We start from the raw sequence: 24,448 nt of genomic DNA, 5'->3' as shown, positions 1-24,448 counted from the left end.
CTCTGGAGGCCAGGAGTTCCAAACCAGCCTGGCCAAAATCACTATTTTAGAAACACTGTCCCCACTAAAATTACAAAAATCAGCCAGGTATGGTGGCACATGCCTGTAATCTCAGCTACTTGGGTGACTGAGGTACCAGAATCACTTGAACCCAGGAGCTGGAGGTGGCAGTGAGCCAAGATCATGCCATTGCACTCCAGCCTGGATGACAGAGCGAGACTCTGTCTCTAAAAAAGAAAAAACACGTAACGTGAAAGTATCAAAAACTAGAAGTAAACTTCCAGAGGCTTTTTATATATCATTCACCTGCATATTTCAATGTTACAATAATGTAATATCGGCTCACCACAAGCTCCGCCTCGCGGGTTCACGCCATTCTCTTGCCTCAGCCTCCGGAGTAGCTGGGACTACAGGCACCCACCACCACGCCCGGCTGATTTTTTGTATTTCTAGTAGAGGTGAGGTTTCACCATGTTAGCCAGGATGGTCTGGATCTCCTGACCTCGTGATCCACCCACCTTGGCCTACCAAAGTGCTGGGATTACAGGCGTGAGCCACCACACCTGGCCTGAAATCTTAAAATAAATGAAAAACAAGCTAATCGCTGAACAAAAATTAAAAAGTTGCTGTAGAATGACAACAACATTGTACAACCATTTATATATGATTTTTGCAAAAAGTGTTAATACCAATAAGTATATGCTGACTGATAAGGAGACAACTGATCTGGAATCACAGGAGCAAATCATGACACTGAGAAAATAAATGCAAAAGCTGAACGTAGAATGCTACACCATGTGTCTTTAAGGCAACACATTATAATAATTTATATCATTGCATTACAAACATTCATCATGTTCTTTAATATGTCCTGTCATTGAGAAGCCACACAGTTCGGATAAGAGTTCAGCTGAATGTAGAATTGACATCTCATCAGAAAAAGTGTTATGAATTGATCAGCTTGGATATATACTTAGAGCATAATATTAAATATAAATATTCCTTGATTTTCATACCCATATACTTGGAATATGGGTATTCATTCCCATAATGTAGGAATAGTATGCCAACATTTTTGTAATTTCTAGCTTAGTCATCTCAATATCTCTTAATCCACTCATGCAGGAAGATGTACAAATCTCATCAGGAATAGCAAATTTAATAAGCTTTCAATATTGATGTATTTCATTTAAATTTAGTTACAACAGACTTTTAAATATTAATAACATTTTCTACGTTAAAATCAGTAAAATACCTACGAATAACAACAATTTAGGTATTCAAGTCATAAATTCAGAGTTTTATGGTTTTCAAAATTAGTCTGGTTTCGTGTAGCATGTTATTTACTAATGAGGTTTTATAAAATGGCAATTTTACCAACACAATTTGCTTCCTTAAAAATAAAGCCAAGGTTCTTACATTCAAGTATATCTTATTCAAATTGTGAACGTCAAAAACATACATACATGCACACATCTATATATATATATATATATATATATATATATATATATATATATATATATATTTGACGCCTCATAGTAATAAAGAAAATTAATGAGTCACTGAGGTTTAGTCCAATTCTAGTAATCCTCATGATTCCAGTAGTCTCCAGAGCACCCACACTCTAACATTCTGCAGTAAAACTTTTCTAAATGCTTCCGAAGTGAGCTCACTCCATTTTCCTTCATAGAAAATCCAAAATCATCTAGCTGGCTTCTCTCTTGTCCCCTGCTTCCTGCCTCACAATCTCTCTGCTTTAGCAAAAATAATCACTAGACTTGTGCTCTTGATTCTTCCCATTCGACACCTGTTAAAATTATTTTTTCCCACTCTTTCCTTTTACTTTGAGGAGTGGTAGTACCTTCCATCTATAATTTCTATTGCATTGCTCCTTTCTTCTTCTCCCCTGACTAAAAACATCCTCAAAATTAAGAGGACCATGATGTTTTCTCCTGACCTTTTCTGTCCTGACCTTCTATCCAGTTGCTCTGCTTCCACATTTTTCCCACAAAAGGCCTCTCCTCTTGCTACCCAGAGCAACGTCCAAGGACCACCAGCATCAGCATCACCTGAGAACTTTTTAAAAATGCAGAATCCCAGGTCGGCTGAATCTCAGTGTGAATTGTTAACAAGGTTTTCAGCTGACTTTCTAAAGTTTGAAAACCTCTGGTCTATACGGAGTGTATATGACAATTTATATACATGTGTGGCCGTGCAGATATGCTTATTCTCACCTATTGCAAATAGAACACAGCTCTCCATGGTCAGGTGCTTCCATCCCTAATGGCTTCCCACCAGTGAGAAAGACATTAAGAGTCAGAATATTTTTGCTGTAATTCTCTGGTAAATTTTGATTCTAGAAGGTCACATTATATTCTTCCCAAATTTCTAACCATACCCGATCTTTTCCTAAACAATCATTTCATTTTATCATCCTCCATTACATAAACCTGTTTCTTGTTCCTTCATGTACTCTCTGTACGCTCTGTCTTTCTCAGTCTTCATTTACTCTATTACTACTTTCTTCTTTCTTATTTTCTCATTTTCCTCACGTCTTGGAATATCTTGAATTTAAACTAGTAATTCAGCTCCTCTTCAGCACTCACAATATAGTCTGTTGCCAATGCCTGATGAGACACATAGCTTATGACCATTGCACTTCTCTTTTTTTCCATGGTTTGCATTTAGGAGGTAATTTTCTTCAGCTACTAGAGGATATCCTTCCTCATCAATTTAGAGAAATATTTGGTCAAATGATTTTTAAATAAAAAACGGTTCTTACCTTCTAATTTTCCATTTATTTTATCTATTTCTTTTTGATGCGCAGCCTTGGGTAAACACACATCCTTCTGTGAAACAGTCTCACAGAGACTCTGTTAAAAGTAATAGCAATAAATAATTTCAATGGATAAATCCTAGTAATGAAGAGTATCAAAATTTCCTAATTAAATTCTTTTTTAAAAACACAATTTCCTCCTTTGCAAACAATTCGACTTAAGAGCAGATACATGTAGAAAACAAACACATTTTGATAGAAAACCTCACATAACCCTCTCTACATCAAGCTCATCTTTACGTTCACGTGGCCATTAACTCGGTGACTGAGCAGGAAAAACAAATCACCTTCACAAAAAATTCACTCGTGCATATTTCAAAAAGTATCTCTCTTAAAAATATCTAACTTACGTTCTAGTCCTCATCAAAAATAAATAAGACATTTCAAACAAAATACAACACATTTGCTACTTGCCGGGACACATACAGCAGTAAACATTTAAAATATTCACGATCATAGAACTGTTTACTGTTAAAAATCATGCATGTCACGAAGAGAACTTTTAGAGTCTGTCATAGAATGTATGTACAGAATTTGAAAAAGCTGCTTTCTTTCGGTAAACAGGGGCTTAAAATAAGCAACATGTTTTTGACAAAATTTTTGGTGATAGAAAAAGTGTTTGAATAGAATGTAAATGCAGTAAGAAAAAAATTATGTCACATCTAAATGAAAGCAAACAAGTGTTAAAGTCTTTCTGTCTAATAAAATATCAGATAAAATCTACCTATTGACTTCCACCCTTTGCTGTTACCACCAGGCAGCAGCTGCTTGTTTCTAAGAGGTCAGATACTTTCTATGTCTTTCCGCCGTTGTGACCTTAAAATACATCACTATGATATGACGCTCATGCTGCTTCAGCTTGACTGCCATAAGGGGACTCAAGGAGTTCTATTTGCGAAAATATAATTTATATTTTTCAAAAGACTACTCAACCAATACTCTTGTTATTATACTCCCACAAGGTTTCCTATTCCTCATGCTTTCCTTTCTGCTGAAATGTTCCTTCAGATCTATACTGAACAATAAAGATATGTCAATACGTTCAAGTCCCAGGCATTAAATTTTCAGGTCCCAACTTTTACAATATTGCAGTTTAAAGTGTCTCTCTATGAATACAATTAGAACTTTTCTACCTCTAGATATAAGACAGAATCATATATTTGCCCATAGCTGGACTCAGTGTAATTCTTTTCCTTTTAGACAAAAGTACTCCAGATCCCATGTGAATTTCTAGTGAATTCTAAGCCTTAGTTTTTACACTATACCACTTTGGCTTCTTAAATTAATCGTACAAATTCCCAGAATTTCACTGTGAAGCAGGAATCTACTTAGCACACAGATTCTCCGTTAAGCATATACTGAAAAATATCAAAAATAATTTGGGGGTGACACATGCAGAGGTGAGAACATAAAGTCTAAGCATCTGATTTTATGTTTTCATATCATGCAATACTAATATTTAAAAAATCAATAACACATAGTACCTCAGAATCCCAAGAACTTTCTTCATAGTCCTTTTGTTTGGATTCTGATGGGAGTATCTCATCTATAAAAGGTTAATCACAGATACATTCATGAGCACAGTTCTCTACTAAAAATTTTAAAAACATATACAAATCTACTTTCATTCACGAATCTGAGGTTTTTCCTCTGTAGCCCGTATATTCTTTTTGTTGATTGCAATGACTACTTCTATAGTCATTCCAATAGAACTGAAATCTAAAAAGTCTGAAAATTAACATTATTTCATTAGAATGCAGAAAAATAGAAATTTAACTAACTTGTATGAATTATCTCTTCACAAAGCAGTCATATCCTATTCTCCTGTGAAGCGCAGTATGCCCTAGGTTTCCTGTTCATTCAGAAAACTGGAATTACCTATCATCTCTCATTTCTTTGTTACTTTTTATTTGGTAGTATTACTTACATTGATTGACTCAGCAATCTCTCTTACACAGTTCTTCAAAAAAGATGATTTATCAATGAATAAGATGTTTTAGAAATATTAACTTTTTGATGTCAGTCAACTATATGTCCAACCCTTTTACATTTCAGTATGCTATGACAGTGTATTGGGTGTGTTTTGCGTGTGTATAAGCTTTAGGAAGATAAGCTTAAAAAACTTTTATTGCGTATAAATTAAGAACTGCTTCATTTACAATGACACACTTCTTCCCTAATGCAACAATATCTTCAGAGTCAGCTTGTGACACCTTGGAGAAACATCAGAAATGTATAGGAAAATATAATTGCCTTAAGTAATCTAATGTTCCCACGTGTAATAGGATAAAATCAAGGCCCACTCAAGACTTGACGAGTTCTCAGGGACATAAGACAGAAAAAGAATTTATACCAAAAATAACGTCCAGTTTTCTTTATCAGCACAAAGTACAAATTACAACTATTTGAATCAGGTTCAGGAAAAAAGCAAACATGCACACCTAAAACTTAAAAGACCGTTTCATCACTATGCATACGTTTATCATTTGACATCCATCAACTGTATACCTGGTTTCAAAAGTAAATTTAACTTGTGATCTCAGCATAGCTCATGTTCACATTTCATGCAGAGGGTCCAGGAAACTCAAATCACACTTTGGTAAGTCACCATGTTCACTCATTTTTAGAAGCGTACCCTGGATCGTTTCAGAGATCTAACGTGTTGCCACACCATAGCTCTAAGAAGCTGTGGGGCACAGTTCAAATTCTTAGTGGAGTGTATGATTGCACAAGGAAATACTTTAAATATGTTACTTTTAATTTCTAATGACTAAGAAATCAGCAGATAAAACTAACTTTTTAAAGACTCCCAAATTTGCATGTTTTCAGTTTTATTTATTACTTCTCGGCATAAAAATTGTGCAATTAACTATGGTACTGTCATACAATGGAATTTTATAAATAACCTAATATTTAAAAACACAATTAATTGTGTCCTTTACGGATGTCTCTAAAAATTATAATGCTGATCAAAAAAGAATGTTGCCGAACACTACACTCTACAACCATGTACACATTAGAAGTTGAAAAAAATCGTACATATTAAATATGACCACGCACACATGTTGTAAAATGTTTAAACATGCATAAGAAGAGTTTCTAAAAACAGTTTAGAATATTGGTTACTTCCAGGCAATAAATGGTACTAGCGTAAAAGGACTCTAAAGCCAAATGCTTCAGAATCACAGTTTCATGAAAAAGTGTGTTTATCAAATATTCACAAAGAAATGAATAATTCCTTTCCTCATCTTTACAAGGTAAAGGTACCACACACACACAGGCACACGCAGGCACACACGCAGACACACACACACATAAACACACAGAGTTCACTAGTCCGAGTTACTGATTTTCTTAGGATTCTCAAAGTGACAACACCGGAAACAAGGTAATTCATGTTAAAACACAAGGGTTATATCAGTAAGAGATGGGATCCCCGAAGTAAACCGTGGAATTTGAATCAAGCTTCGAAGAGCTAAAAAAAGAAATTGGAGTTTCAACATTCACCTTCTTGAATCCTTAAGAAATACAGAAGTTCAAAATAGAAAACATTACAGTTTCAGGATACAAAAGTAGAAACATCTGAGATTAAGCCTACATTTTTAAAAAAAGATATTGAAAATTACTGTGCTTGTAATACCAGCTTTTCAAACATCAATACCAGTATTGGCATTACCTAGATCAAATCTTTTCATCAAAGTTGAAAAAAATAAAGCATTGGGGATAGAAGGACCATCAAAATGTCCAATATTGAAATATTGGTCTTTGCATAGTTCCATTAAAAAATTTACCTGCTCTCAATGTTTGTTCATTCTTCAATTCCAAGGCTTTATTTGGAACAGACTTTTGCATTTCAATGGCAGGCTAAATGGGGTTGGAAGCAAAATGATTAATAAAGAATGTATACTTCACAAAATACATAGTTAATAAGTCATTCAAAATGAAATCATGAAACTAAATACCTCGAAGGCAGATGGCTTCTCGGGAGGCTCTAAAAAGCAAAATAGATTTATTATCAATCATAAGTAAATATGACAAGCCAGCCACAAATGAATGCCGTGATAGTATCTAACTGACTCCTCTTGCTCCAATTGGAGAATGAATACTTTAGATTTGGAAAGTTTTCTTTTGGTTTGTTTAGGACACACACACGACAAGAATACACTGAAGAAAATATAAATACAGGTTTCACAGATCATGCAGTTAAGACTTCAAGAGCGAGATTGTGTTTCACGTGTAAAAAGGGTTGATATGAGAAAATAAATGTCAAAGCTGAACATGGAATGCTACGCCACGTACTTAATGAAACACATTAGAATCACTTATATTATTCCATTCATCCTGTTCTTTAATATAGCCTATCTTTGGAAAGGTACATAGTTATGATGAGAGTTCAGCCGAATGTACAACTGACATCTCATCACTGAAGTGTTATGAATTGATCAGCTTGGATATACACTTAGGTCATAATACTAAATATGAATATTCGTTTTTTTCCATAACCATAGGGTGTAATCATATGCCTATGATTCTGTATCCTCTACTTTATCCATCTGAATGCTTCTCGATCCACTCATGCAAGATGTGTAAAACTCATCATGGAAATAATCTATACTAAGCTTTCAATATTGACATATTTATATAAAAATTTATTGCAATAGATTAAATAAACATAAGTAACTTTTTTTATATTGTTAAGTCACCACAATATTTATCTTAAAAAGCAATCTTATTATTCAAGTATAAATTCAGTATTTTTTCAGATCCTACAATTCGCCTGGTTTGGTGTATCATTAGTCTATAATAAATTTTTGTGGAATGGCAATTTTACCAAAACAACACACTTCCTTAAACATAAAGCCAATGTTCTCAGTTTCCAATATATCTCATTTCAATAGCTAACATCAACAAAATATATATATTTCTCATGCCTGATTGTAACAGAGAAACCTAATGAGTCACTGTGGTTCCCCCAATTCTGGTAGTCTCTGGAGTGCCCACAGTCTACATTCTGGAGTGCAAATAATCTACATGCATCTGAAGTGAGTTCACTCAACTGTTCTTCTCAGAGTCTCCAGAATTACCTGCCTACATTCTTTCTTGTTTGTCCCGTTACCTGACTTGAATGCTTCTACTAAAAAAAAAAAAAAAAAAAAAAAGAAATTAAAAAAAAACCTCTAACTCTGTAGAATTCTTCCCATACAACACTGTTTCAAATTTATTTGTTCAACATTTCCTTTCTCTTTGTTTAGTGATAGTATCTTAAATCTATAATTTCTGTTTATCTTTTTCTTCTTCTTCTCTGGCTAAAAGCATACCCAGAAATAAAAGCAATATAATGCATTCTCTTGACCCTGTTATGTCTTGACCTTCTATCCAACTGCTCTTCTTCCACTATTTTCCCATGAAAGGCCTCTCCTTTTGCTACTCAGACCAAGCTCCAAGGACCACCAGCAGCAGCATCGCCTGAGAAATTATTAGAAGTGCGTGCCACCACGTCCGGCTAATTTTTTGTATTTTTAGTAGAGACAGGGTTTCACCGCGTTAGTCAGGATGGTCTCGCTCTCCTCACCTCGTGATCTGCCAGTCACGGCCTCCCAACGTGCTGGCATTACAGACGTGAGCCACCGCACCCGGTCACCATTTTTTAAATAAATAAGTGTAACTATCTTTTGTTTATGTTTTCTAAAGTAATGTGGTTGACAACTATATTAGGTATACTTTAAATATAAAACTGCTGGAGTGACAACCAGATGCTTTATTCTCAAGGCATCAATATCTTCTGAACTAGCATGTGAAGCCGTGGAGAATTTTCACAGTTTATATGAGAAATGAGACCATAAACTGAACTACTTCTTCCCATGTAAACAGATGAAAAGTCTAGATCCTCTCTAGGGAAAAAGAGAGCACAGTGCCATGAGACACAGAATGAATCTGTAACCAACTCTTTTCATTATAAACAAAAGTTTGATTTTGTTTGATTTATATCTTTTTAAAAAAGAAAAAGAGAAAAAAGACTCAGAGGTGCAACTTCAGACATTATTTCATATACAAGAGCCCATTTGTTATTTGGCACTTTAAAACCTTATGCATTTTTGAAAATTCTTGTTCTAGCTTCTGATCTGAGCATCTCTGAAGTTCAACAAATACACCGGGGGCCATAATGTTTTTCCTATTTCTCCTATTTACTGATATTTTCTAAAAAGTGTAAACTAAAATTTTTCAGACTCATGACATGTCACAATGTCATAATTTTCATGGTTAATGAGTAACAGTTGTAATGCGTATTGGAAAGTAGGACTTTTCCAATTCGTGTATTTTAAATATTTTCATTTTAATTTCTAACAGTGAATGAAGCAGTAAATACTCCCACTTCAGTAAAAGCTCTGTGATATCAGCTGCCATTTAATGTCGACTTTTAGTGGCTAGGAAACACAGTCTAATTAAATGTGTTTTAGAGTTAACATGGCAAACTATGAGGCCTTAAATCAAAGCAGAGCTAATTGTATTGGGTCCATCTAAAATATTCGATAAGCAAACAAGGAAGTTCCAGGACAATATGTACAGCGTACAACTATTTATTGAAAATTTCAGACATCGGCCGGGCACGGTGCCTCATGCCTGTAATTCCAGTACTTTGGGAGGCCGAGACGGGCGGACCACAAGGTCAGGAGATCCGGATCAGACCATCCTGGCTAACACACTGAAACCCTGTCTCTACTAAAGATACAAAACATTAGCCGGGCGTGGTGGCAGGCACCTGGAGTCTCAGCTACTCAGGAGGCTGAGGCAGGAGAATGGCGTGAACCCGGGAGGCAGAGCTTGCGTGAGCCGAGATGGCGCCATGGCACTCCAGCCTGGGTGATCTCAAAAAAACAAAAACAAAACCAAACAAAAAAACTGAAGAAAAAAATACAAACAAAAAAAAAGAAAATTTAAGACATGAAAACAAATTCTACACACAGCCTATAAGACATGAAAACAAATTCTACACATAGTCTATAACCACACATATGTTGTGAGTTTTGTGTTTTTATTTCTTTACCTTTTCAGATGGAGTCTCACTCTGTCACTCAGGCTAAAGTGGCACAAGCTCGGCTCATGCAACTTCTGCGTCCTAGGTTCAAGCCATTCTCCTGCCTCAGCCTCCAGAGTAGCTGAGATGACAGGCACCCACCACCACAACCGGCTATTTTTTGTTATGTTTAGTAGAGATGGGGTTTCACTAGTTTGACCAGGCTGGTCTGGGACTCCTGACCTTAACTTATCTGCCCGCCTTTGTCTCCCAAACTGCTAGGATTCCAGGCATGTGCCACCGTGCAAGGCCTGTTGTAAAATGTTGTAAACGTTCACGGGAATGACAAAAACTACTTCAGGCTCTTTTGTATCTCTAGGCAATTCATTACAGTAGCATTAAAACACACCAAGGCCAAATGCTTTGGGGTCACTCTTCTAAAATGCGGTGCCTAGCAAAGAGTCATCAAGTAATGATTGCTTGACTGATTTTTTAAAATTATAAGTCACACACACACACAGTCATCTATTAAAAAAAAAACTGATTTTCTTAAGATTCTCAGAGTGGTAACACTCACAACTGTCATGTCAGCAAGTGAAACTTTCTTCTGAGTAAACATCAGAATTCCAATCAGCCTTCGAACCACTGCAAATATTTCACAGTCTCAAAATTCACCTACCTTAAAACCAAGCGCGTACAGAAATTGCAAATTGGAAACTTTATCCGATCAGGACATTAAAGTAGAACCACATGAGGTAAAGCAGAATTTTTTTTCTAAATCTCTAAATCTTATGCTTGTAAATGGCATTTTCTCAAACAGAAATACTCACATTGGCATTATTTGTATCGAAATTTCCCATCAAATTATGAATAGAAAACAACATTGGGAATGAAAAGTCTCACAGCATTTCAAATATTTTAATATTCTTCTTTCCAGAGTAAAATTAAAATTACAAAATTTACCTGCTTTGAAAGTTTGCATGTCCATCAATTCTAAGGCTTTAGTTGGAATAGAAACTTTCATTCCGCAGTTAGCCTAAATGGGTTTGGAAAGAAAACAATTAATATACAATGTATACTTCATAAAATATGTAGTTAATACTCAAGATAAAAATATAAAAGTTATTACCTTCAGAAGACCATCTTTAACAGGAGACCCTAAAAGAAAAGGGACATATATAATTTATTGTATGCAAGCTTGACAAAGCCTACCGAACATTCACGCACTGTCAACATGAAGATGAATCCTCATGCTTGGATTGCAAAAGGGATTACACTAGCTTTTGGGGTCTTTTGGGTTATTGCATTTGTTATCATGCCAACGTGACAGAAATATACCTAAGAAAATTTGAAAACTAGATTTCATCAAACATGCTGTGAGGATTTCAACATTGAAAATATATTTAAGGTGACAATAACTAAAGCAGAAATATCCTACTATCAGTAAGAGAAAGCGGCCGTATTAGGAAAGAAGTTGTATTTAATAAGATGACCAAGTCATGCCACACCCCACCAAAACAGAATAAATGACTAAGCTAATGGGAGAATGCTATGGCATATTGTTAAGGAAACACGTCAGAATCACTTATGTCAATATATACATGTAGCTATTATGTCCTTCAATTTGTCCTGGAGTTTAGGAATTGCAAAGTTGTGATGAGAGTTCAAAGGTACAACGTACTTATCATTGCAGAGAATGTTCTAAATTCAGCAGCATATCTACCTATAGAATAAAAGTTAATAAATATATTCATTTTTGTACCTCTGTGAAATACGAGTATTTTCACATTCATAGGGTTCTCTAGTTTAGTCCTCTTAAAATTTCCTGATCCACTTATACAAAAAGGTCCAAGCGTACCCATCAACAAACCAATACAGGCCAGGTGCAGTGGCTCATGCCTGTAATTCCAGCACTTTGGAAGGCTGAGGAGGGCGGATCTCTGGAGGCCAGGAGTTCCAAACCAGCCTGGCCAAAATCACTATTTTAGAAACACTGTCCCCACTAAAATTACAAAAATCAGCCAGGTATGGTGGCACATGCCTGTAATCTCAGCTACTTGGGTGACTGAGGTACCAGAATCACTTGAACCCAGGAGCTGGAGGTGGCAGTGAGCCAAGATCATGCCATTGCACTCCAGCCTGGATGACAGAGCGAGACTCTGTCTCTAAAAAAGAAAAAACACGTAACGTGAAAGTATCAAAAACTAGAAGTAAACTTCCAGAGGCTTTTTATATATCATTCACCTGCATATTTCAATGTTACAATAATGTAATATCGGCTCACCACAAGCTCCGCCTCGCGGGTTCACGCCATTCTCTTGCCTCAGCCTCCGGAGTAGCTGGGACTACAGGCACCCACCACCACGCCCGGCTGATTTTTTGTATTTCTAGTAGAGGTGAGGTTTCACCATGTTAGCCAGGATGGTCTGGATCTCCTGACCTCGTGATCCACCCACCTTGGCCTACCAAAGTGCTGGGATTACAGGCGTGAGCCACCACACCTGGCCTGAAATCTTAAAATAAATGAAAAACAAGCTAATCGCTGAACAAAAATTAAAAAGTTGCTGTAGAATGACAACAACATTGTACAACCATTTATATATGATTTTTGCAAAAAGTGTTAATACCAATAAGTATATGCTGACTGATAAGGAGACAACTGATCTGGAATCACAGGAGCAAATCATGACACTGAGAAAATAAATGCAAAAGCTGAACGTAGAATGCTACACCATGTGTCTTTAAGGCAACACATTATAATAATTTATATCATTGCATTACAAACATTCATCATGTTCTTTAATATGTCCTGTCATTGAGAAGCCACACAGTTCGGATAAGAGTTCAGCTGAATGTAGAATTGACATCTCATCAGAAAAAGTGTTATGAATTGATCAGCTTGGATATATACTTAGAGCATAATATTAAATATAAATATTCCTTGATTTTCATACCCATATACTGGAATAGTATGCCAACATTTTTGTAATTTCTAGCTTAGTCATCTCAATATCTCTTAATCCACTCATGCAGGAAGATGTACAAATCTCATCAGGAATGGCAAATTTAATAAGCTTTCAATATTGATGTATTTCATTTAAATTTAGTTGCATCAGATTTTTAAATATTAATAACATTTTCTATGTTAAAATCAGTAAAATACCTACGAATAACAACAATTTAGGTATTCAAGTCATAAATTCAGAGTTTTATGGTTTTCAAAATTAGTCTGGTTTCGTGTATCATGTTATTTGCTAATGAGGTTTTATAAAATGGCAATTTTACCAACACAATTTGCTTCCTTAAAAATAAAGCCAAGGTTCTTACATTCAAGTATATCTTATTCAAATTGTGAACATCAAAAACATACATACATGCACACATCTATATATATATATATTTGACGCCTCATAGTAATAAAGAAAATTAATGAGTCACTGAGGTTTAGTCCAATTCTAGTAATCCTCATGATTCCAGTAGTCTCCAGAGCACCCACACTCTAACATTCTGCAGTAAAACTTTTCTAAATGCTTCCGAAGTGAGCTCACTCCATTTTCCTTCATAGAAAATCCAAAATCATCTAGCTGGCTTCTCTCTTGTCCCCTGCATCCGATCTTTCCTAAACAATCATTTCATTTTATCATCCTCCATTACATAAACCTGCTTCTTGTTCCTTCATGTACTCTCTGTATGCTCTGTCTTTCTCAGTCTTCATTTACTCTATTACTACTTTCTTCTTTCTTATTTTCTCATTTTCCTCACGTCTTGGAATATCTTGAATTCAAACTAGTAATTCAGCTCCGCTTCAGCACTCACAATATAGTCTGTTGCCATCACCTGATGAGACACATAACTTATGACCATTGCACTTCTCTTTTTTTCCATGGTTTGCATTTAGGAGGTAATTTTCTTCAGCTACTAGAGGATATCCTTCCTCATCAGTTTAGAGAAATATTTGGTCAAATGATTTTTAAATAAAAAACGGTTCTTACCTTCTAATTTTCCATTTATTTTATCTATTTCTTTTTGATGCGCAGCCTTGGGTAAACACACATCCTTCTGTGAAACAGTCTCACAGAGACTCTGTTAAAAGTAATAGCAATAAATAATTTCAATGGATAAATCCTAGTAATGAAGAGTATCAAAATTTCCTAATTAAATTCTTTTTTAAAAACACAATTTCCTCCTTTGCAAACAATTCGACTTAAGAGCAGATACATGTAGAAAACAAACACATTTTGATAGAAAACCTCACATAACCCTCTCTACATCAAGCTCATCTTTACGTTCACGTGGCCATTAACTCGGTGACTGAGCAGGAAAAACAAATCACCTTCACAAAAAAATTCACTCGTGCATATTTCAAAAAGTAACTCTCTTAAAAATATCTAACTTATGTTCTAGTCCTCATCAAAAATAAATAAGACATTTCAAACAAAATACAACGCATTTGCTACTTGCCTGGACACATACAGCAGTAAACATTTAAAATATTCACGATCATAGAACTGTTTAGTGTTAAAAATCATGCATGTCATGATGAGAACTTTTAGAGTCTGTCATAGAATGTATGTACAGAATTTGAAAAAGCTGCTTTCTTTCGGTAAACAGGGGCTTAAAATAAGCAACATGTTTCTGACAAAATTTTTGGTGAGAGAAAAAGTGCTTGAATAGAATGTAAATGCAGTAAGAAAAAAGTTATGTCACATCTAAATGAAAGAAAACAAGTATTAACGTCTTTTTGTCTAATAAAATATCAGATAAAATCTACCTATTGACTTCCACCCTTTGCTGTTACCATCAGGCAGCAGCTGCTTGTTTCTAAGAGGTCAGATACTTTCTATGTCTTTCCGCCGTTGTGACCTTAAAATACATCACTATGATTTGACGCTCATGCTGCTGTAGCTTGACTGCCATAAGGGGACTCAAGGAGTTCTATTTGTGAAAATATAATTTATATTTTTCAAAAGACTACTCAACCAATACTCTTGTTATTATACTCCCACAAGGTTTCCTATTCCTCATGCTTTTCTTTCTGCTGAAATGTTCCTTCAGATCTATACTGAACAATAAAGATATGTCAATATGTTCAAGTCCCAGGCATTAAATTTTCAGGTCCCAACTTTTACAATATTGCAGTTTAAAGTGTCTCTCTATGAATACAATTAGAACTTTTCTACCTCTAGATATAAGACAGAATCATATATTTGCCCATAGCTCGACTCAGTGTAATTCTTTTGCTTTTAGACAAACGTACTCCAGATCCCATGTGAATTTCTAGTGAATTCTAAGCCTTAGTTTTTACACTATACCACTTTGGCTTCTTAAATTAATCGTACAAATTCCCAGAATTTCACTGTGAAGCAGGAATCTACTTAGCACATAGATTCTCCATTAAGCATATACTGAAAAACATCAAAAATAATTTGAGGGTGACACATGCAGAGGTGAGAAAATAAAGACTAAGCATCTGATTTTATGTTTTCATATCATGCAATACTAATATTTAAAAAAATCAACAACACACAGTACCTCAGTATCCCAAGAATTTTCTTCATAGTCCTTTTGTTTGGATTCTGATGGGAGTATCTCATCTATAAAAGGTTAATCACAGATACATTCATGAGCACAGTTCTCTACTAAAAATTTTAAAAACATATACAAATCTACTTTCATTCACGAATCTGTGGATTTTCCTCTGTGGCCCATATGTTCTTTTTGTTGATTACAATGACTACTTCTATAGTCATTCCAAAAGAATTGAAATCTAAAAACTCTGACAATTAACATTATGTCATTAGAATGCAGAAAAATAGAAATTTGACTAACTTGTATGAATTATTTCTTCACAAAGCAGTCATATCCTATTCTCCTGTGAAACACAGTATGCCCTAGGTTTCCTGTTCATTCAGAAAACTGTAATTACCTATCATCTCTCATTTCTTTGTTACTTTTTACTTGGTAGTATTACTTACGTTGATTGACTCAGCAATCTCTCTTACACAGTTCTTCAAAAAAGATGATTTATCAATGAATAAGATGTTTTAGGAATATTAACTTTTTGATGTCAGTCAACTATATTTCCAACCCTTTTACATTTCCGTATGCTATGACAGTGTATTGGGTGTGTTTTGCGTGTGTATATGCTTTAGGAAGATAAGCTTTAAAAATTTTATTGCATATAAATTAAGAACTGCTTCATTTACAATGACACACTTCTTCCCTAATGCAACAATATCTTCAGAGTCAGCTTGTGACACCTTGGAGAAACATCAGAAATGTATAGGAAAATATAATTGCCTTAAGTAATCTAATGTTCCCACGTGTAATAGGATAAAATCAAGGCCCACTCAAGACTTGACGAGTTCTCAGGGGCATAAGACAGAAAAAGAATTTATACCAAAAATAACGTCCAGTTTTCTTTATCAGCACAAAGTACAAATTACAACTATTTGAATCAGGTTCAGGAAAAAAGCAAACATGCACACCTAAAACTTAAAAGACCGTTTCATCACTATGCATACGTTTATCATTTGACATCCATCAACTGTATACCTGGTTTCAAAAGTAAATTTAACTTGTGATCTCAGCATAGCTCATGTTCACAATTCATGCAGAGGGTCCAGGAAACTCAAATCACACTTTGGTAAGTCACCATGTTCACTCATTTTTAGAAGCGTACCCTGGATCGTTTCAGAGATCTAACGTGTTGCCACACCATAGCTCTAAGAAGCTGTGGGGCACAGTTCAAATTCTTAGTGGAGTCTATGATTGCACAAGGAAATACTTTAAATATGTTACTTTTAATTTCTAATGACTAAGAAATCAGCAGATAAAACTAACTTTTTAAAGACTCCCAAATTTGCATGTTTTCAGTTTTATTTATTACTTCTCGGCATAAAAATTGTGCAATTAACTATGGTACTGTCATACAATGGAATTTTATAAATAACCTAATATTTAAAAACACAATTAATTGTGTCCTTTACGGATGTCTCTAAAAATTATAATGCTGATCAAAAAAGAATGTTGCCGAACACTACACTCTACAACCATGTACACATTAGAAGTTGAAAAAAATCGTACATATTAAATATGACCACGCACACATGTTGTAAAATGTTTAAACATGCATAAGAAGAGTTTCTAAAAACAGTTTAGAATATTGGTTACTTCCAGGCAATAAATGGTACTAGCGTAAAAGGACTCTAAAGCCAAATGCTTCAGAATCACAGTTTCATGAAAAAGTGTGTTTATCAAATATTCACAAAGAAATGAATAATTCCTTTCCTCATCTTTACAAGGTAAAGGTACCACACACACACAGGCACACGCAGGCACACACGCAGACACACACACACATAAACACACAGAGTTCACTAGTCCGAGTTACTGATTTTCTTAGGATTCTCAAAGTGACAACACCGGAAACAAGGTAATTCATGTTAAAACACAAGGGTTATATCAGTAAGAGATGGGATCCCCGAAGTAAACCGTGGAATTTGAATCAAGCTTCGAAGAGCTAAAAAAAGAAATTGGAGTTTCAACATTCACCTTCTTGAATCCTTAAGAAATACAGAAGTTCAAAATAGAAAACATTACAGTTTCAGGATACAAAAGTAGAAACATCTGAGATTAAGGCTACATTTTTTTAAAAAATATATTGAAAATTACTGTGCTTGTAATACCAGCTTTTCAAACATCAATACCAGTATTGGCATTATCTAGATCAAATCTTTTCATCAAAGTTGAAAAAAATAAACCATTGGGTACAGAAAGACCATCAAAATGTCCAATATTGAAATATTGGTCTTTCCATAGTTACATTGAAAAATTTACCTGCTCTCAATGTTTGTTCATTTTTCAATTCCAAGGCTTTATTTGGGACAGACTTTTGCATTTCAGTGGCAGGCTAAATGGGGTTGGAAGCAAAATGATTAATAAAGAATGTATACTTCACAAAATACATAGATAATAAGTCATTCAAAATGAAATCATAAAACTAAATACCTCGAAGGCAGATGGCTTCCCCGGAGGCTCTAAAAAGCAAAAGAGATTTATCATCAATCATATGTAAATATGACAAGCCAACCACAAATGAATGCCGTGATAGTATTTAACTGACTCCTCTTGCTCCAATTGGAGAATGAATACTTTAGATTTGGAAAGTTTTCTTTTGGTTTGTTTAGGACACACACACGACAAGAATACACTGAAGAAAATATAAATACAGGTTTCTCAGATCATGCAGTTAAGACTTCAAAAGCGAGATTGTGTTTCATGTGTATAAAGGGTTGATATGAGAAAATAAATGTCAAAGCTGAACATGGAATGCTACGCCACGTACTTAATGAAACACATTAGAATCACTTATATTATTCCATTCATCCTGTTCTTTAATATAGCCTATCTTCGGAAAGGTACATAGTTATGATGAAAGTTCAGCTGAATGTAGAACTGACATCTTGTCTCTGAAATGTTATGAATTGTTCAGCTTGGATATACACTTAGGTCATAACACTAAATATGAATATTTGTTTTTTTCCATAACCATATGGTGTAATCATATGCCTATATTTCTGTATCCTCTACTTTAGCTGTCTGAATGCTTCTGGATCCACTCATGCAAGAAGATGTGTAAAACTCATCATGGAAATAATCTATAATAAGCTTTCAATATTGACATATTTATATAAAAATTTATTGCAATAGATGAATTAAACATAAATAACTTTTTTATATTGTTAAGTCACCACAATATTTATCTTAAAAAGCAATCTTATTATTCAAGTATAAATTCAGTATTTTCTCAGTTCCTACAATTCGTCTGGTTCGGTGTATCATTAGTCTATAATAAATTTTTTGTGGAATGGCAATTTTACCAAAACAACACACTTCCTTAAACATAAAGCCAATGTTCTTAGTTTTCAATATGTGTCATTTGTATAGCGAACAGCAACAAAATATATATTTGTCTTCCCTGATTGTAACAGAGAAACCTAATGAGTCACTGTGGTTCCCCCAATTCTAGTAGGACTCCTGCTTCCGGTAGTCTCTGGAGTGCCCACAGTCTACATTCTGGAGTACAAATAATCTAAATGCAACTGAAGTGAGTTCACTCAACTGTTCTTCTCAGAGTCTCCAGAATTACCTGCCTACATTCTTTCTTGTTTGTCCCCTGTCACCTGCCTAGAATGCTTCAACTAAAAAAATAAATAAATAAAAAATAAAAACAGAAAATAAAAAAAAACCTCTAACTCTGTAGAATTCTTCCCATACAACACTGTTTCAAATTTATTTGTTCAACACTTCCTTTCTCTTTGTTTAGTGATAGTATCTTAAATCTATAATTTCTGTTTATCTTTTTCTTCTTCTTCTCTGGCTAAAAGCATACCCAGAAATAAAAGCAATATAATGCATTCTCCTGACCATGTTATGTCTTGACCTTCTATCCAACTGCTCTTCTTCCACTATTTTCCCATGAAAGGCCTCTCCTTTTGCTACTCAGAGCAAGCTCCAAGGACCACCAGCATCAGCATCACCTGAGAACTTATTAGAAATGCGTGCCACCACGTCCGACTAATTTTTTTGTATTTTTAGTAGAGACAGGGTTTCGCCTTGTTAGTCAGGATGGTCTCGATCTCCTAACCTCGTGATCTGCCAGTCACGGCCTCCCAACGTGCTGGGATTACAGGCGTGAGCCACCGCACCCAGTCACCATTTTTAAAATAAATATGTGTAACTATCTTTTGTTTATGTTTTCTAAAGTAATGTGGTTGACAATTATATTAGGTATACTTTAAATATAAAACTGCTGGAGTTACAACCAGATGCTTTATTCTCAAGGCATCAATATCTTCTGAACTAGCATGTGAAGCCGTGGAGAATTTTCACAATTTATATGAGAAATGAGACCATAAACTGAACTACTTCTTCCCATGTAAACAGATGAAAAGTCTAGATCCTCTCTAGGGAAAAAGAGAGCACAGTGCCATGAGACACAGAATGAATCTGTAACCAATTCTTTTCATTATAAACAAAATTTTGATTTTGTTTGATTTATATTTTTTTAAAAAAAAGAGAAAGAGAAAAAAGACTCAGAGGTGCAACTTCAGACATTATTTCATATACAAGAGCCCATTTGTTATTTGGCACTTTAGAACCTTATGCATTTTTGAAAATTTTTGTTCTAACTTCTGATCTGAGCATCTCTGAAGTTCAACAAATACACCGGGGGCCTAATAGTTCACATAATGTTTTTCCTATTTCTCCTATTTACTGATATTTTCTAAAAAGTGTAAACTAAAATTTTTCAGACTCATGACATGTCACAATGTCATAATTTTCATGGTTAATGAGTAACAGTTGTAATGCGTATTGAAAAGTAGGACTTTTCCAATTCGTGTATTTTAAATATTTTCATTTTAATTTCTAACAGTGGATGAAGCAGTAAATACCCCCACTTCAGTAAAAGCTCTGTGATATCAGCTGCCATTTAATGTCGACTTTTAGTGGCTAGAAAAGACGGTCTAATTAAATGTGTTTTAGAATTAACATGGCAAACTATGAGGCCTTAAATCAAAGCAGAGCTAATTGTATTGGGTCCATCTAAAATATTCGATAAGCAAACAAGGAAGTTCCAGGACAATATGTACAGTGTACAACCATTTATTGAAAATTTCAGACATCGGCCGGGCACGGTGCCTCACGCCTGTAATTCCAGTACTTTGGGAGGCCGAGGTGGGCGGATCACAAGGTCAGGAGATCCGGATCAGACCATCCTGGCTAACACACTGAAACCCTGTCTCTACTAAAAACACAAAACATTAGCCGGGCATGGTGGCAGGCGCCTGGAGTCCCAGCTACTCGGGAGGCTGAGGCAGGAGAATGGCGTGAACCCGGGAGGCAGAGCTTGCGTGAGCCGAGATCGCGCCATGGCACTCCAGCCTGGGTGATCTCAAAAAAACAAAAACAAAACAAAACAAAAAAACTGAAGAAAAAAATACAAACAAAAATAGAAGAAAATTTAAGACATGAAAACAAATTCTACATATAGCCTATAAGACATGAAAACAAATTCTACACACAGCGTATAAGACATGAAAACAAATTGTACACATGGTCTATAACCACATACATGTTGTGAGTTTTTGTTTTTTTATTTCTTTGCTTTTTCAGATGGAGTCTCACTCTGTCACTCAAGCTAAAGTGGCAAAAGGACGGCTCACTGCAACTTTTGCCTCCTAGTTTCAAGCGATTCTCCCACCTCAGCCTCCAGAGTAGCTGAGATGACAGGCACCCACCATCACAACCGGCTATTTTTTGTTATATTTAGTAGAGATGGGGTTTCACTAATTTGACCAGGCTGGTCTGGGACTCCTGACCTTAACTTATCTGCCCGCCTTTGTCTCCCAAAATGCTAGGATTACAGGCACGTGTCACCATGCACAGCCTGTTGTAAAATGTTTTAAACGTGCATGGGAATGACAGCAAAAACTAATTCAGGCTGTTTTGTATCTCTAGGCAATTCATTACAGTAGCATTAAAAGACACCAAGGCCAAATGCTTTATAGTCACTCTTCTAAAACACTATGTCTAGCAAAGAGTCATCAAGTAATGATTGCTTGACTGATTTTTTAAAATTAAAAGTCACACACACAGTCAGCTAATCAAAAAAAAAGCTGATTTTCTTAATATTCTCTGAGTGGCAACACTCACAACTGTCATGTCAGCAAGTGAAACTTTCTTCTAAGTAAAGATCGGAATTCCAATCAGCCTTTGAACCACTGCAAATATTTCAGTCTCAAAATTCACCTGCCTTAAAACCAAGCACGTACAGAAATTGCAAACTGGAAACTTTACACTATCAGGATATTAAAGTAGAACCACATGAGGTAAAGCAGAATTTTTTTTCTAAATCTCTAAATCTTATGCTTGTAAATGGCATTTTCTCAAACAGAAATACTCACATTGGCATTATTGTATCAAAATATCCCATCAAATTTTGAATAGAAAACAACATTGGGAATGAAAAGTCTCACAGCATTTCAAATATTTTAATATTCTCCTTTCCAGAGTAAAATTAAAATTACAAAATTTACCTGCTTTGAAAGTTTGCATGTCCTTCAATTCTAAGGCTTTAGTTGGAATAGAAACTTTCATTCCGCAGGTAGCCTAAATGGGTTTGGAAACAAAACAATTAATATACAATGTATACTTCATAAAATATGTAGTTGATACTCAAGACAAAAATATAAAAGTTATTACCTTCAGAAGACCATCTTTATTAGGAGACTCTATAAGAAAAGGGACATACATAATTGATTATATGCAAGCCTGACAAAGCCTACCGAACATTCACACAGTGTGAACATGAAGATGAATCCTCATGCTTGGATTGCAAAACGGATTACACTATGTTTTGGGGTCTTTTGGGTTATTGTATTTGTTATCATGCCAACGTGACAGAAATATACCTAAGAAAATTTGAAAACTAGATTTCATCAAACATGCTGTGAGGATTTCAACATTGAAAATATATTTAAGGTGACAATAACTAAAGCAGAAATATCCTACTATCAGTAAGAGAAAGCGGCCGTATAAGGAAAGAAGTTGTATTTAATAAGATGACCAAGTCATGCCACACCCCACCAAAACAGAATAAATGACTAAGCTAATGGGAGAATGCTATGGCATATTGTTAAGGAAACACGTCAGAATCACTTATGTCAATATATACATGTAGCTATTATGTTCTTCAATTTGTCCTGGAGTTTAGGAATTGCAAAGTTGTGATGAGAGTTCAAAGGTACAATGTACTTATCATTGCAGAGAAGGTTCTAAATTTAGCAGCATATCTACTTATAGAATAAAAGTTAATAAATATATTCATTTTTGTACCTCTGTGAAATACGAGTATTTTCACATTCATAGGGTTCTCTAGTTTAGTCCTCTTAAAATTTCCTGATCCACTTATACAAAAAGGTCCAAGCGTACCCATCAACAAACCAATACAGGCCAGGTGCAGTGGCTCATGCCTGTAATTCCAGCAATTTGGAAGGCTGAGGAGGGCGGATCTCTGGAGGCCAGGAGTTCCAAACCAGCCTGGCCAAAATCACTATTTTGGAAACACTGTCTCCACTAAAATTACAAAAATCAGCCAGGTATGGTGGTACATGCCTGTAAACCCAGCTACTTGGGTGCCTGAGGTACCAGAATCACTTGAACCCAGGAGGCAGATGTTGCAATGAGCCAAGATCATGCCACTGCACTCCAGCCTGGATGACAGAGCGAGAAAACATCTTATATGGATGTATTACAAACAAGAAGCAAACTTCTAGAGACTTTTTACATATCATTCACCTGCATATTTCAATGTTACAATAATGCTTATTCAAAATAACAGTTTTAGTGTTCAAGGAATGAATCCTACAATAGTTTTGTTTCTAAAACTAATTCTATTTGTTACACCGTGCCAGGTGTTAAACTATTGTTATGAATAAGCTCTTATAAAAAACTTAGCTTCAAGAAAATCACAGACATTTCATTGAGATAGAAATAGATCTCATGTCTTCAAATAATATTAATCAAACATGTTTAATCACTCATTTTTCTCTACTCCTCAAATATTTCCATATGACATGCTTTAATATATTTAGAAATATCAACTATATATGTTGTTTCCCTTGAGAGATCATTGATCAATAATGAAGACACTTCAGGGACATAAACTCTCTAAAACACACAAAATTTATGTCTAACCATTTTAAGGCTAAATATGCATGACCATATTGCATGTATGTGTGTTAGAAAAAAAGTGCTTAAATTTGTATTCAATACGCTTTAAATAAAAACCTGCTTTAATTACAATGAGAAGGTCATTCTCTATTCATTAATATCTTTAAAAGTTACTTCTGAAGCACTGAAGAAACCTCCAAAATTCATATATAAGAAATGATACCATGAATTCATCTGCTTGTTTTAGGTAAAACTGTGAGAAATACACATCCTCACTAAGTGCAAAGAAAGCAGAGTGTCATGAGACAGGAAATGAATATGTAACCAAAATATTTTCCTTTATAAAGAAAATAACTGGCATTAAATTTTCTAAGACAAGATAAAAAAGCAAAACACGCAGAGATGAAACAGTAAAGGTGAGCTCATCATCAAGGAACCATTTATCACTTGGCACTTAAGAATCCTATGTAAGGTTGAAAACTCTGGTTCTAAATTGTGATCTGATCATCCCTGAAGTTCAAAATTCATGCAGAGGAACCGGGTAGGAAAATACCACCTTAGTTTTTTTTTATTACTTTTATTTTTATAAAGGGGTACACTGGAGTTGTTTAGAATCAGGACAGGTCACATGGCATAGCTCGAAAGATTCATGAGCCGCATTTGTAATGGCTATTGAAATGTATGGCTGTACGTACTTGGATTTTCAGTACTTCACTTTTAATTTCTAGTATAGCATGAAGTAGGACATACACTTAAACAAAGGCTTGTTGACATCCGTAATTATATTTATGTTGCTCTTTAGTCACCATGAATAGCGTCTAATTAAAGGTGGTGTAAAGTAAAAATGCACACTATGA

General features: G+C 35.0%; 1 protein-coding gene across 7 annotated transcripts in view; it reads right to left on the bottom strand.

The window, feature by feature from the left end:
• Positions 1-24,448, bottom strand: part of ANKRD30A (ankyrin repeat domain 30A) — a 140,297-nt gene that overhangs the window by 85,353 nt on the left and 30,496 nt on the right. For 5 of the 7 annotated variants that reach the window (XR_007062015.1, XR_930524.4, XM_011519757.4 and 2 more), the window contains exons 14-26: positions 22,122-22,150; positions 21,956-22,028; positions 17,865-17,893; positions 17,694-17,766; positions 15,387-15,448; positions 13,847-13,937; positions 11,536-11,577; positions 10,984-11,012; positions 10,818-10,890; positions 6,802-6,830; positions 6,631-6,703; positions 4,324-4,385; positions 2,786-2,876 (exon numbers count right to left, since the gene is read on the bottom strand). Coding sequence is in view for 5 of the 7 variants with exons in the window: in XM_011519757.4 (XP_011518059.1) it covers positions 2,786-2,876; positions 4,324-4,385; positions 6,631-6,703; positions 6,802-6,830; positions 10,818-10,890; positions 10,984-11,012; positions 11,536-11,577; positions 13,847-13,937; positions 15,387-15,448; positions 17,694-17,766; positions 17,865-17,893; positions 21,956-22,028; positions 22,122-22,150 (756 nt within the window). In the remaining 2 variants the exon portion in view is untranslated. The remainder of the gene's footprint in view (positions 1-2,785; positions 2,877-4,323; positions 4,386-6,630; positions 6,704-6,801; positions 6,831-10,817; positions 10,891-10,983; positions 11,013-11,535; positions 11,578-13,846; positions 13,938-15,386; positions 15,449-17,693; positions 17,767-17,864; positions 17,894-21,955; positions 22,029-22,121; positions 22,151-24,448) is intronic. The other 2 variants (NM_052997.3, XM_047425992.1) reach the window with 2 other exon arrangements.

This window comes from Homo sapiens, chromosome 10, assembly GCF_000001405.40.
Source record: "Homo sapiens chromosome 10, GRCh38.p14 Primary Assembly".
Classification (NCBI taxonomy): Eukaryota; Metazoa; Chordata; class Mammalia; order Primates; family Hominidae; genus Homo; species Homo sapiens.
The sequence above is the reverse complement of the archived record's forward strand: the minus strand, read 5'-3'. Positions and strand labels throughout refer to the sequence as shown.